The 14,654-nt window shown below is 43.9% G+C and overlaps 1 protein-coding gene across 6 annotated transcripts in view, besides 1 other annotated feature; it reads left to right on the forward strand.

Annotated features, from left to right (window-relative positions):
- Positions 3,711-3,770: an enhancer, noted in NCBI's record as "active region_13868". NCBI's record gives its function as "activates an Ori minimal core promoter by ATAC-STARR-seq in GM12878 lymphoblastoid cells {active_cell/tissue: GM12878}" and the evidence as "EXISTENCE:reporter gene assay evidence [ECO:0000049][PMID:35858748]".
- The window catches only part of ADGRE1 (adhesion G protein-coupled receptor E1), a 52,872-nt gene continuing 41,934 nt past the window's right edge, over positions 3,717-14,654 (forward strand). For 2 of the 6 annotated variants that reach the window (NM_001974.5, NM_001256253.2), the window contains exons 1-5: positions 3,717-3,777; positions 6,619-6,681; positions 12,536-12,679; positions 13,287-13,442; positions 13,566-13,685. In NM_001974.5, coding sequence (NP_001965.3) covers positions 3,747-3,777; positions 6,619-6,681; positions 12,536-12,679; positions 13,287-13,442; positions 13,566-13,685 — 514 coding nt within the window. In that variant the 5' untranslated portion in view covers positions 3,717-3,746. Of the gene's footprint in view, positions 3,778-6,618; positions 6,682-12,535; positions 12,680-13,286; positions 13,443-13,565; positions 13,686-14,444; positions 14,601-14,654 lie in introns of all 6 variants that reach the window. The other 4 variants (XM_011527794.2, NM_001256255.2, NM_001256252.2 and 1 more) reach the window with 4 other exon arrangements.

Below are 14,654 nucleotides of genomic sequence, written 5' to 3' on the forward strand. Positions count from 1 at the left end.
CGTGCCCAGCCAAATCTGACTGATTTTCAATGTGAAAATAAAATATAAAAACAGTTCTTGGAGTTATTTCTAACCAGAACTAACATCAGAATCGTCAATTTTGGAAAAATTGGATTCATCAGATAAATTTTCAGCCAACAACTGTTTGAGAATGATAGTAACATCATGCGTAGGAATGCTACACTTTTCTAGGATCTGACATTTTCAGCAATCAAGAATTACTGTATTTTGTAAAATATACTATAGTATATAGTAAAAAATACCATATTTTGTAAAATATAGTAATCTGGAAATATCCCTACTAAAAACAGAACACTATAAATAGAATCATGTCTTTTGTTTTCAAAGTTGATACACTAGAGCAATGCAAAAATAATAATAAAGGTGAGATATTTCACGGCAAAGTTATCTCTGGGTAAATGCTGCAGCCACAAGCGCCACCAGCTAGTATTCTTGGGGCCAACGGGGAAAGAATGAAGGCACAAACAGAAAGCCACTGATGAATCTGGCTAGACGCGGTGTCTCAGGCCTGTAATCCCAACACTTTGGGAGGCCAAGGTGGGAGGATCACCTGAGGTCGGGAGTTCCAGACCAGCCTGGCCAACATGGTGAAACCTCGTCTCTACTAAAAATACAAAAGTTAGCTGGGCATGGTAATACACGCCTGTAATCCCAGAAACTACTCGGGAGGCGGAGGTTGCAGTAAGCCAAGATCACGCCACTGCACTCCAGCCTGGGTGACAGAGCGAGAGTCCATCTCAGAAAAAAAAATAAAATAAAATAAAAAAAGAAAGCCATTGGTGAATCTTTGTTCCAGTGACAATAACTCCAAAGCTGGTAGTTTGCTTTGCAAAGAACAAAAGGGGAAGGCAAAAACACGTGGAGCTTTTCTTTCTAAGAATTCGGGGATGTTCTATGCACCTCCTTTGTACCTTGTGACAGCTGCTATCAGTGGCTGCCCACACCCATAACCTAACAACACATTAATATGCCCTAGCTTAACGCTGATACGGGAGCTAGAAAGAAGTTATTTAGGCAGAGAGTGAGGGCAAGAGAGTCCTCGGTAAGGTTTGCCTTTTAATAAAAAGCAGCCCCCAAATCATTTATTTTATTTTATTTTTTTTTTTTTGAGACAGAGTCTTGCTCTGTCGCTCAGGCTGGAGTACAGCGGCACAATCTCGGCTCACTGCAAGCTCCGCCTCCCGGATTCAAGCAATTCTCCTGCCTCAGCCTCCCGAGTAGCTGGGATTACAGGCGCATGCCACCATGCCCGGCTAATTTTTGTATTTTTAGTGGAGACGGGGTTTCACCATGTTGGTCAGGCTGGTCTCAAACTCCTGACCTTGTGATCCACCCGCCTCGGCCTCCCAAAGCGCTGGAATTACAGGCGTGAGCCACCGCGCCCGGCCAAATAATTTCTTTTCTAAAAAAGAGCAGTCTGAAAAATCAGCCGGCAGACATAGAAAAGCAAGCTGGAAGCTTGCTCGGGTGAATGCCGGCAGCTGTGCCAATGGGAATAGGCTACCTGGGTGCCAGGCGTGTTCAACATGCAGGCTTGCTCCATGTTCCCTTTTCTTTATCAACCACGTGTACGGTAAAGGAACAGGCAACATGGTCCTGGCCAGGTAGAGACCCCATCTGCATAATAAAATATTAGGGTGGGCAGCCAGCTTCTTTGTACTCTATGTAAACGGCACACCTGGTCCAACTAATCTTTGGGCCCTTATGTAAATCAGATATCACCACCTAAAGCTCATCTATAAAACCCCGTGCATTTCACCATGAAACTGGAAGACCCACTTGGGAGCCCCCTCTCTTTGCAGGAGAGAGAGCTTTTCTCTTTCTCTCGCCTATTAAATTTCTTTTCTTTCTTTCTTTTTTTTTTTTTTTTTGAGATGGAGTCTTGCTCTGTCACCCAGGCTGGAGTTCAATGGCACAATCTCGGCTCACTGCAACCTCTGCTTCCCGGGTTCAAGCGATTCTCTTGCCTCAGCCTCCTGAGTAGCTGGAATTACAGGCATGAGCCACCACACCTGGCTAATTTTTGTATTTTTAGTAGAGATGGGGTTTCACTATGTTGCCCAGGCTGGTCTCAAACTCCTGATCTTAGGTGATCCACCCGTCTCAGCCTCCCAAAGTGCTGGGATTACAGGCATGAGCCACTGTGCTCGGCCTAAACCTCTGCTCTAAAAGTAATTTTTTGTGTGTCTGCATTTTATTTTATTTTATTTTATTTTATTTTATTTTATTTTATTTTATTTTATTTTAAGACAGAGTCCCACTCTGTTGCCTAGGCTGGAGTGCAGTGGCACGATCTCGGCTCACTGCAGCCTCCGCCTCCTGGGTTCAAGCAATTCTCTGCCTCAGCCTCCGGAGTAGCTGGGATTACAGGTGCCTAACACCATACCACACTGGCTGATTTTTTGTATTTTTAGTAAAGACGGGGTTTCCCCATCTTGGCCAGGCTGGTCTTGAACTCCTGACCTCGTAATCCACCCTCCTCAGTCTCCCAAAGTGCTGAGATTACAGGTGTGAGCCACGGTGCCCGGCCATGTCTGTATTTTCTATTTCCTTGGTGTGAGGCAATGAACCTCGGGTATTACCCCAGATGGATGACACTGCTTCAATATCTGCCAGTCACTACACTTTGTTATCAGTGGGATTACATCAACTGGAGCCCATTCTATCTGCTTGGAGGCCAGGCCTGAAGATTCAAGGGGTTGACACCCTCTAGGAGCAAGCCTCAAGTCAACCCATGACTGACAGTAGGTGGGATATAAATACCTCAGCTCCCTCACCCCTCGGTTGGAATAACTGAAGAGTATGTTCCATGCCGCTCCCCAGTCATCCCTGGGGAGGTTAAGTTCCACTTTCTCACCATGTAACTTATTTGAAGACACACCCAGTATTGGCTCTTTGCCTTTCCTGATTCACTTTCTCCTCCCCCAGCTGGTGCTTTCTGGGGCCACCTTCTTGATAAACTACTTTTGCTAGAATCCTTGTCTGAGGGTCTGCCCTTGTGAGACCCTAAGATGTTACCAGAGAGAGTTAGGAAGCTGGGAATGGGGTGGAAGTGTTGCTGTATAATCGTCAGACAGAGTTGAGATCTGAAGGAAAATAAGATGGTTAAAGCTCTTGACTCTGGAATCAGAGGGTCCTGGGTTCAAATCTCAAGTCTGAGAGATCTTGGACAAGTTATAACTCCTCTGCAAGTCTCAGTTTCCATTTTGTTGGTGAATAGAGGGAGGGAGGGGAATTCCTACTTTACAAGGTTAACATGATAATGAAATTACACTTTGTTGCCAATGTGCCTAGCACACTGCCTGGTACATGATGGTTGTGATGGCTGTCTTTATACGGGAGACTGGGAAGAGACCCTAAAGGCTGAGATTTGCTTCACTGGAGGCAGGAAGCGGAAGCTCCTTTATTGGGTGCAATGAAAGAAGGTGTTGAGAGATGGGAGATAGATGTTGATGGGAAAGAAAAAGGGAGAGACCATGGGAAGGAGAGAGAGAGAGAATGATATACATTAGGCAGATTAACTTCTCTTTATTGTGAAGAAAGGGGGAAATTAGGATTTTCTAGGCTGTCTTTTAGTTGCAGCAAGTCAGCAAAAAGGGCTATGATGACCAGGCAGCATTGAGCAACTCTGACTCCGCCTTCCCCTCTTCGCACACCTTCTGGTTACTGAAAACCCAGCGTTAGTAGAAAAGTTTCTTTTCTTTGAATGACAGAACTACAGCATAATGCGTGGCTTCAACCTGCTCCTCTTCTGGGGTGAGTGTGAGGCTGAATGGGGGGCTAGGGGAGGCCTGGATTGGAAATAGACTTCAGGAGAAATGGGAGGGCCATGGATGGTCCAGCCAAGAGATCATAAGTCCAGACTGGATGCTGCAAACACCTTCATTCAGGGAACCTTTGACAAAATTCCATAGCTCAGGGAAGTCCATCTGTTAGGATAGATTTTTCTCTATAGTCATTCATTTGACCTGAGCAAGTCCTGTGTGTCAGGTGCTGTTCTAGGCACTAGAGGATATAGCAGTGAGAAAAAAAGACTAAGTTCCTGCACTCTTGAGGCTGATATTCTAGTGGGTAGGAGCAGACAGGAAAGAAGGCACAGATGATCATAGCCCACTTAGCACTGCTGTAACTTCTTTAAACATAGAGTGTATCCAATTGTCACAACATTTCTATGACATTGGGTCATTATTAGTCCTATTTTGCAAATGAGAAAACTGAGGCAAAAGAGATAAAATAATTTTCCCAAGGCCACTTAGTCAATAAGGGGTAGAGGCAGGATTTCAAGCCAGACAGTCTGACTTCAGAGTCTGTAAGCTTTTCCACTATACTATGTTGCCCCAAAAAATAAGTAAACATAGGAATTTCAGGTAGTGATAAGTGCTATGAAAGAAGTTGTTATAGAATGTGGTCGGGAGTTATGTTGAAGGGAGAAGTCTGGGGTTGAGGAGGGGCAGTTCGAGCTGAGTCCTGAAGGATGAGATAGACCCTTCCTGTGCTCTTATTTCTCTTTCTTCAGGTGTCAGTTTGTCTCAGCCTTGTTTATCTTCTGTGTTTCTGGTTTTTCTTCTATGTCTTGTGTGTTTTGGTCATTGGATCAAATTTAAGAATGGAGGATATTGGGGACATATTCTAAGTAGCAAGTATGGGTTTCCTCTGCTGTTGAAGAGTGGATCTGAATACCCTATTTTACCAAGGAGGAAACTGAGGCACAAAGAGATTAAATAACTTCCTCAAGGCCACGCAATCATTAATTGGTGAAGCCAGATTTTTAAACCTAAGCACTTTGACTTCAGACTTTGTATGCCTAAACAGCATGCTGAATTACCTCTAAAATAATTAATGAATGAGTAGAAGAATTTTTGTTAGTAATAATAGATAGAATTTGGGAGTTTAGATCTGTGGGACTTGTTGACTGGCAGGCTACATTAGAAGAAATAGGTGGCCTGTGGACATCAAATGTAGGCATGCAGAGTTGTTATTTTGGGGTGTTGGCAATGGTATTAACCATTAACACTCCCTATTCTGCCCTGAAGATAATCAGCAAAGAGTTGTGATAATGATAGTGATGATAATGATCATGATGGTGGTGGTTATAATAGTGATGATGAAAATGGTGATGATGATGGTGATGGTGATGATGATGATGATGATAATGGTGATGATAGTGATAATGAAGATGATGGTGATGATGATGGTGTGATAATGACCATGAAGATGGTGATGATGGTGATGATGATAATGGTGATGATAGGGATAATGATGATGATGGTGGTGATGATGGTGTGATAATGACGATGAAGATGGTGATGTTGGTGATTATGGTGGTGATGATGATGATGGTGGTGATGGTGATAATGGTGATGGTGATGATGATAATGGTGATGATGGTGATAATAATGATGATGATGATGGTGATGATGAAGATGATGATGGTGATGATGATAGTGATAATGATGGCGATAATGATGATGGTGCAGGAGACCTAAATGCTGCAGGGCTGCATTGCCTTTAAACACTAAAAAATGGGCAGGGCGCAGTGGCTCACGCTTGTAATCCCAGCACTTTAGGAGGCTGAGGCAGGCAGATCATGAGGTCAGGAGATCGAGACCATCCTGGCCAACATGGAGAAACCCCGTTTCTACTAAAAATGCAAAAATTAGCTGGGCGTGGTGGTGCGTGCTTGTAATCCCAGCTACTCGGGAGGCTGAGGCAGGAGAATAGCTTGAACCAGGGAGTTGGTGGTTGCAGTGAGCCTAGATCACGCTACTGCACTCCAGCCTGGTGACAGAGTGAGACTCCATCTCAAAAAAAAAAAAAAAAAAAAAAAGGAAAGAAAAACGAATTGCCCTACCCTCTCATGAAATGTTAATACTACAGATATACTGTATACCTATATATGTATTTTCTATATATACATATGTATCTTATACATAAAAGAGTAAGCTTAAAAAGATCTCTTCCTGAGAACCAAGTTTGGGTCCTTAGAGGATATATCACCCCTTTTGAGAATGCATGCTTTAATGTATGTTTTTGAAAATCAGCTAGAACTTTTTTTTTTAGACAGGGTCACCTAGGCTGGAGCGCAGTGGCATGATCTTGGCTCACTGCAGTCTCTATCTCCTGGGCTCAAGCAATCCTTCCACCTCAGCCTCCTGAGTAGCTGGGGCTACAAGTTGTCACCACCACCCAGCTAATTTAAAAAATTTTTTTTTTGTAGAGACAAAGTCTCACTGTGTTGTCCAGGCCGGTGTCAAACTGCTGGTCTCAAGTGATCCTCCCACCTTGGCCTCCCGAAGGGCTGGGATTATAGGTGTGCACCACAGTGCTTAGCCTGGAACTATTTAATCAAAAAGAAAAAGAAGATAAAGACAGACAAAATGAAAAGCAAAAGCAAAGTACAGAAAACCAGGAATGGTCATTGTTAAGCTTATGCAAAATAGTGTATGTTTGTTCCTTAACTAGGTTTGTCATCTAGCCTCTTCAAACCTATTTCTGTGGGGCCAAGCCAGGAGTAATTTTGCAGGTTGAGCCCAAAAGGTTTTTTTTTTTTTTTTTTTTTTTGGTGGTTCATGGTGTTTTTCTTTTCTTTCTTCACAGGATGTTGTGTTATGCACAGCTGGGAAGGGCACATAAGACCCACACGGAAACCAAACACAAAGGGTAAGTTGGCCAGAGAGAATGCAGATGCCTGAAGGGGTAGAGAAAGTTTTCTCCCCGGGGAAACATCCCAGGAAGCTGAGCCTCATCCAGATGCTTGCTGGGAGCTAGTTAGCGGCAGAGCAAGGGTTAACATGCAAGTCTCCTGATTCTCACTTCAGGCTCTTTCCTTTGTGCTTAGAATTGCTGTGTGATCTCAGATAAGTCACATAACCTCTCTGAACTTCAGTTTCCCAAGCTGTGAAATACAGATAACAATAGGGATGTTGTGAAACTTTAATTCAAAGAGGTAGCTTTGGAAACCACCTGGTATGTAGTATGAGCTTTATAAATGGTAGTGTAGTGAGAGTAGGGATGGAATTTACTCAAACTACAACTCAATGTGCAAAAAAAAAGTGACTTCTTTATGTTTTGTTAAATACTCTCATCTACATAAACTCTTGCTGGATAAAGGAAGAAAGACATTGTCAGTTCGTAGTTGTTGATATGGTTTGGCTATGTCCTCACCCAAATCTCACCTTAAATTGTAAGAATCCCCACGTGTCAAGGGCGGGGCCAGTTGGAGATAATTGAATCATGGGGGATGGTTTCCCCCATACTGTTCTCGTGGTAGTGAGTAAGTCTCACGAGATCTGATGGTTTTATAAATGGGAGATCCCCGCACAAGCTCTCTTGCCTCCTGCCATGTAAGTAAGACATAATTTTGCTCCTCATGATTGTGAAGCCTCCCCAGCCATGTGCAACAGTGAGTCAAATTAAACCTCGTTCCCTTATAAATTACCTAGTCTCGGGTATGTCTTTATTAGCAGCATGAAAACAGACTAATACAACTGTTCCCAGTGTCTCTGTTTCCTGGTTCTTCTTTGGGCAACTTAGCAACTTGGTCTATATTGTGTTAACAGCTCATCTTTCACATTTTTTTTTTTTTTTTGAGATAGATTCTCGCTCTGTTGCCCAGGCTGGAGTGCAGTGGTGCGATCTCGGTTCACTGCAAGCTCCGCCTTCCAGGTTCACGCCATTCTCCTGCCTCAGCCTCCCGAGTAGCTGGGACTACAGGCGCCCGCCACCACGCCTGGCTAATTTTTTTGTATTTTTAGTAGAGACGGGGTTTCACTAGAAACCAGGCTGGTCTTGAACTCCTTAGGTGATCTGCTCACCCCAGCCTTCCGAAGTGCTGGGATTACAGGCATGAGCCACTGCGCCTGGCCCCTTTGTAGGACTTTTTCAAAAGGGCTTTATTGAGATGGTTGGGAAAATTTTCTCAAGGAAGTGATGTTCCAGTGGACTTAAAGGATGGATGAATTGATGTTACCCAGGCAAAGGGGCAGGGTGGGATAGGGCATGTCTGGTGGCCAGAACGGTGGGTGCAAAGGTCCTGAGGTTGGAAAGAATTTGGAGGACCGAGCGAAGGTGAGTGTGACTGATGACACAGGGCAGGAGATGAGATGGGGAGGTGGACAGGTACCTAGTCCCACAAGACCGGGTTGTTACTCTGACCTTGGTGGGTTTCAGTTGTGAGGGAGAGGGCTAGTGGAAGAGAATGATGGGAAACTTACAGCATTAAGAGACCACAAGTGATAAAATGCCGGAAGTCTGCATAGAGAAATGTTGCCTCTACAGATGAAAGAGGAAGCTGGAAATGAGAAGAGAGATACCATCTGAGGCCTCATGCAGGGAAGGGAAATAAACAAGGCACATTATAGGAGCAAAGAACGTAGATCTCAAAACCAAATGTGTAACAAAAACAGGGTGAATAATGTCACAATCACGATAATCCATTCCTTCTGTTTTTATGATACTTTTTAGTTTTTCCATACTCCTAATTGATGTTGGCATTATCGTTGGTTCCTCTCTTTTCACTCCTCACATCCAATCCATCGGCAAATTTTGTTAGTGTTGCTTTAAAAAAATCCTGAATTGCATTCCCTTCATTGATTCCCTCTGGGTTGTATCTACTGACATCTTTCACCTGGACAAGTGCAGTCACCCCCTCCTTGGTCAGTTTATTTCTGATCTTCTATAGTTCGTCTTCCAACCAGTGGCCAGAAGGCTCATGTTAAAACCTTATGTTGTGTCCCTACTCTGCTCGAAATCCTCCCATGACTCCCATCTTTCTTTGATAAAAAACCCAACTCCACTATTCACAATAGTCAAGATATGGAATCCACCTCAGTGTCCGTCAACAGATGAATGGTTGAACTCAATGTGGTCTGCATACACAACGGATTGCTATTCGGCCATAAAAAGAATGACATTCCACAATTTGCAGCAACATGGATGAAACTGGAGGTCATTAAGTGAAACAAACCAGGCACAGAAAGACAAATGTCACATGTCCTGACTCATAGGTAGTTGCCCTACTGTGCTACTGAGCACTCGATCTCATTCCTTCCATCTAACTGTGGTTTTTGTACCAACCAGTCAATCCCTCTTTATCCCCCTTCCCCACTATCCTTTCCAGCCTCTGGTAATTGTCATTCTGCTCTCTACCTCCATTAGATAATGATGATGATGATTTTTAGCTCCCACGTAGGAACGAGAACATGCAATATTTGTCTTTCTGTGTCTGGTTTATTTCACTTAACATAATGTCCTCCAGTCCTCCAGTTCCATCCATGTTTCTGCAAAGGATGGGATTTCATTCTTTCTTTCTTTTTTTATTTTTTATTTTTTTGAGACGGAGTTTTGCTCTTGTTGCCCAGGCTGGAGTGCAATGGCGCAATCTTGGGTCACCACAACCTCCGCCTCCCCAGTTCAAGTGATTCTCCTGCCTCAGCCTCCTGAGTAGTTGGGATTACAGGCATGAACCACCATGCCTGGCTAATTTTTTTTTATTTTTAGTAGAGACGGGGGCTTCTTCATGTTGGTCAGGCTGGTCTCGAACTCCCGATCTCAGGTGATCTGCCCGCCTTGGCCTCCCAGTGTGCTGGGATTACAGGCGTGAGCCATCACGCCTGCCCGATTTCATTATTTCTTATGGCTGAATGATATTCTATTGAGTACATATACGACATCTTCCTCACCCATTCATCCACTGATAGACACTTAGGTTGATTCCATCTCTTGCATGTACTTTGGATTTTGAAAGGTCTGGCTCTGCTGCTCTCCAGCAGATGTGGTTGTGTGTCTTTGGGTAAGTCACTCAACCTCTCTGAGTCATGTTTTATTTTCACATATGGGTATTGGGAATGGTGCCCATTTCCTGTGGCTGCTGTAACAAATTGCCACAAACTTGGTCGCTTAAAACAAAAAAAACTTACCTATCATTCTGGAGGTCAGAAGTCTGAAATGGGTCCCACTGGGCTAAAATAGAGGCAATGGCAGGGCTGCGTTCCTTCTGGATGCTGTACGGAAGAACTATTTTCTTACTTTTTCCTGTATCTAGGGTCAACCATGTTTCTTGGCTCATGTCCCCTTCCCCCAACTTCAAAGCCAGCAGTGGCTGGCCAGCTCTTTCTTACATCACATCACTCTGACAATGCTTTTCTTGGTTTCAGCTTTCACTTATAAAGACTCTTGTGGTTACATTCATTGCCCCTGGATGATCCAAGATAATATGCCCATCTTGAGATCAGCATGATTAGCAACCTTAATTCCATCTGCAACCTTAATTCCTCCTTCGCCATGGACCATAACATATTCACAGGTTCCAGGGATTAGGACATGGTCCTCTTGGAAGGGTCTGTTATTCTGCCTGCCACAAGGATGACAGCAGCAAGTGAGCCTCTTTCCTAGCACCTGGGAGCCTGCTCCCACCTGTGGTCTTGTCCTTTTGAAGCTCACAGTGTGGTGGTGAAGGTGGCCATGAAGGAGCAACTCACTGAAACAATCAAGCAGTCACGGTTTTGATGAATTCCATAAAAGAAGAGCTCAGGGAGCTGTGGAGGAGTCAGGGAAGGCTTCCTGGAGGAAGTGATGCTAAAGCAAGATCTGAAAAATGAGTGGAAGCTGGCCAGGCAAAGCAGAGGCAGAGGGAACAGCATGTGCAAAGGCCCTGTGGTAGGAAGGCTAGAAATGGAGTGCAAAGAGAAACTGACATGATGAGGCTGAATGATGTGGTTGGGTCTGGTCACTGGGGGCTTTGCAGTTCATGTTGAGTAATTTGAGTTTTATTTCTAAGGAGAACAAAGAGCATTATAGGCAAGGGGTGGAGGTGGGAGATCAAATGTGCATTCAGAGATGACCATGGTGTGGAGTAGAAGATTGTGGAGGACAATGGGGTATATAGAAATGTTAAATTCAGAGGAAGATCTGGATCAGGCATAGCCAAGGTGGTGGGGTTAAATGGGTAATTGTCAAATTATATTTGGGAAGGGGGATCAACAGGGCTTGGAGGCTTATTAAATGTGGTGGCTAAACAGGCAACCTGAGGTACAGACACGTGAAATCACTTGTCCCAAGACTGGATTGGCTAGGATAGAGTGTTGATTGTTTCCATAGAAACAAAATAACTATGAATGAAACAATGCAGATGTTTATTTTTATCTGTCTCATAAATCTCCAACTTGAAGATGGAACAGCGTCGTGGAACAACCTTGCCTAGGAGGTCATTCCATCTCCCAGGTGCCTTTTGCCTTGTTGCCTCTCCAATCTTAGGCGTGAGCCTCATCCCCGTGGTTGGAAATGGATCACCCCAGTCTGTCCATCTTCCAGCCCATGTGAAAAGGGAGAAAAAGTGTGGAGTATGCTCTTTCTTTTCAAGGGCATGACCAGACAGTACACACATCACTTCTATTCATTCTCCTTGGCCAGATTTTCACCAGGTGGCCACAGCTAGCTGCAAGAGAAGCTGGGAATGCAGTCCTAAACTGGATGGTTCTATTATTATAAGGAAGAGGGTGGAATGGATTTGGGGGAACAGCCACCATTCTTGGCTTTGAGGTTTGCTGCTGGAACTTGAACTCAGATCTGCCTTGTCCCGAAATTTGCAGTTTTCACTCTCACACTTTTCTGTCTAGTGCTTGGATGTTCATGGTGTGATCCATGGAGCAACAGAATTGGCATCCTCCAGGCACTTGTTAGAAATGCAAAATCCCCGGCCCCCTTCCCCAGACCTGCTGAATTAGTACCTGATTTTCCAAGATGTTCTTGGAATCCAAGGGGAGGCAGGTGATACTGGTCTGTGGATACTTTGGGTAGCAAGGATCCAGATGAGTGCTTCTCAAACTTCCCTGTGCGCACACATCACCTGGGATCTTGTTCAAATGCAGATTCTGATTCAATGGATTTTGCATTTCCATCTAACTCCCAGGAGATGCTTATGTGGCTGACTCACAGACCCTACTCTGAGTAGAAAGGGTCTAGGATCTTTGAGGTACATGGTTAAATATGATTGGTTGCTGTATCCGTTTCCTAGGGCTGCTTAAAATGACAGAAATTTATTCTCTTCAAGTTCTGGAGTCCAGAAGTGTGAATTCAAGGTATTGGCAGGGCCAGTCTTTCTCCAAAGGCTATAGGGCAGAATCTGTTCCATGCCTTTTTTTAAGGCTTTTGTTATTGCTGGCAATCCTTGGTGTTCCTTGGCTTCTAGACATATCACTCTGATCCCGGTTTGCACTGTTGCATGGCACTGTCCCTGTGCATGTCTGTGTGTCTCTTCTCTTCTTATAAGGACACCTGTGGCCCACCCTACTCCAGCACTACTTCATCTTAACTTTTATCTTAATTGCATCTACAAAGACCCAGTTTCCAAATAAGATGAAATTCACAGGTACCAGGGTTTAGGACTGTAACGTATCTTTTGGGAGGAACACAATCCAACCCATAACAGTCACCTCCACCCTTGTATGCTGGGTTCCCTTGCAGCCTCACTCTAATGCTCTAATCTTGTCTAAACTTTTCTTTATACACTGCCTAGGTAATAACTGTAGAGACAGTACCTTGTGCCCAGCTTATGCCACCTGCACCAATACAGTGGACAGTTACTATTGCGCTTGCAAACAAGGCTTCCTGTCCAGCAATGGGCAAAATCACTTCAAGGATCCAGGAGTGCGATGCAAAGGTGAGTTCATGTCCCCTCAAACCATCCAGCATTTGGTAGGAAAATCAAGTCAAAGCTGGCTGGGTATTGAATGTAGGTACTCCCCCACCCCCCATTTTTTTTTAAATCTGGTTTAACTATATATTTTAAGTGGAGTATTAGGTCATTTCTGTTCAAGGTTAATATTGATATGTGGGGGTGTTGTTACTGTCACAGCATTGCTAGCTAGTGTTGCTAGCAAACATGATTTTCTTCCTTCCTTCCTTCCTTCCTTGCTACTTCCCCACCCTTCCTCTCTTTGATCATGTAAATAATTCCTGGTCACTGTAAAATTTCATGGATGGTTGAGTTTCCTCACAATATGGTGGCTGGATTCCAAGGATAAGCATCCCAAGAGAACAAGGTAGAACTACATGATATTTTTATGACCTAGTGTCACTTCCACCATAGTCACAAGTATGCTCAGATTCAAGATGGGGACATACCTTCCATTGCTTGACAGAAGAAGTACCAAAGTGAAGTGCATATGGGATGGGAGATATTGTTTTAACTTTTTTTTTTTTTTTTTTTGCAAAATACAGTCTTCTATCTAGTATAAGTAAATTTGTAACTCCAATTCTCTGTCTAGATATTGATGAATGTTCTCAAAGCCCCCAGCCCTGTGGTCCTAACTCATCCTGCAAAAACCTGTCAGGGAGGTACAAGTGCAGCTGTTTAGATGGTTTCTCTTCTCCCACTGGAAATGACTGGGTCCCAGGAAAGCCGGGCAATTTCTCCTGTACTGGTAATGCTCTCAGGTTCCCAGGGATGGGTCTTGGGTGGATATCTATCAGTGGGGTGAGTTCATGTATTTCTGAACTGAGGCACCCAATTTCTTATCTGCTCACCCTCTTCCACTGCTTCTCAGATATCAATGAGTGCCTCACCAGCAGCGTCTGCCCTGAGCATTCTGACTGTGTCAACTCCATGGGAAGCTACAGTTGCAGCTGTCAAGTTGGATTCATCTCTAGAAACTCCACCTGTGAAGGTATCCATGACCATCTCTTTATTATTTACCTACTTAATTAATTAAGGGTCATCTCACTGGAAGACCATATGAGAAAGGGATTTTCTCATGTAGGGATAAGAAAATTGGGGCTCAGAGAGGTAAAAATATATAGTTGCTTATATCTTTTTCTATCCCTTTACTTTGAGCCTGTGGGTGTCTTTACATGCTAGGTAGGTCTCTTGTAGCCAGCACATGGTTGGGTCTTTTTAAAAAATTTTTTATCTGGTTTAACAATCTATATCTTTTAAGTGGAGCATTAGGCCATTTCTATTCAAGGTTAATATTGATATTTGAGGGTTTTGTTCCTGTCACAGCATTGCTAGCTAGTATTGCTAGCAAACATGATTTCCTTCCTTCCTTCCTTCCTTCCTTCCTTCCTTCCTTCCTTCCTTCCTACTTCCCCACCCTTCCTCTCTCTGATCATGTAAATAATTCCTGGTCACTGTAAAATTTCATGGATGGTTGAGTTTCCTCACAATATGGTGGCTGGATTCCAAGGATAAGCATCCCAAGAGAACAAGGTGGAAGTACATGATATTTTTATGACCTAGTGTCACTTCCACCATAGTCACAAGTATGCTCAGATTCAAGATGGGGACGTACCTTCCATTGCTTGACAGAAGAAGTACCAAAGTGAAGCGCATATGGGATGGGAGATATTGTTTTAACTTTTTTTTTTGGCAAAATACAGTCTTCTATCTAGTATAAGTGAATTTGTAACTCCAATTCTCTGTCTAGATATTGATGAATGTTCTCAAAGCCCCCAGCCCTGTGGTCCTAATTCATCCTGCAAAAACATGTCAGGGAGGTACAAGTGCAGCTGTTTAGATGGTTTCTCTTCTCCCACTGGAAATGACTGGATCCCAGGAAAGCCGGGCAATTTCTCCTGTACTGGTGATGCCCTCAGGTTCCCAGGGATGGGTCTTGAGTGGATATCTATCAGTGGGG

This window comes from Homo sapiens, chromosome 19, assembly GCF_000001405.40.
Source record: "Homo sapiens chromosome 19, GRCh38.p14 Primary Assembly".
Taxonomy (NCBI): Eukaryota; Metazoa; Chordata; class Mammalia; order Primates; family Hominidae; genus Homo; species Homo sapiens.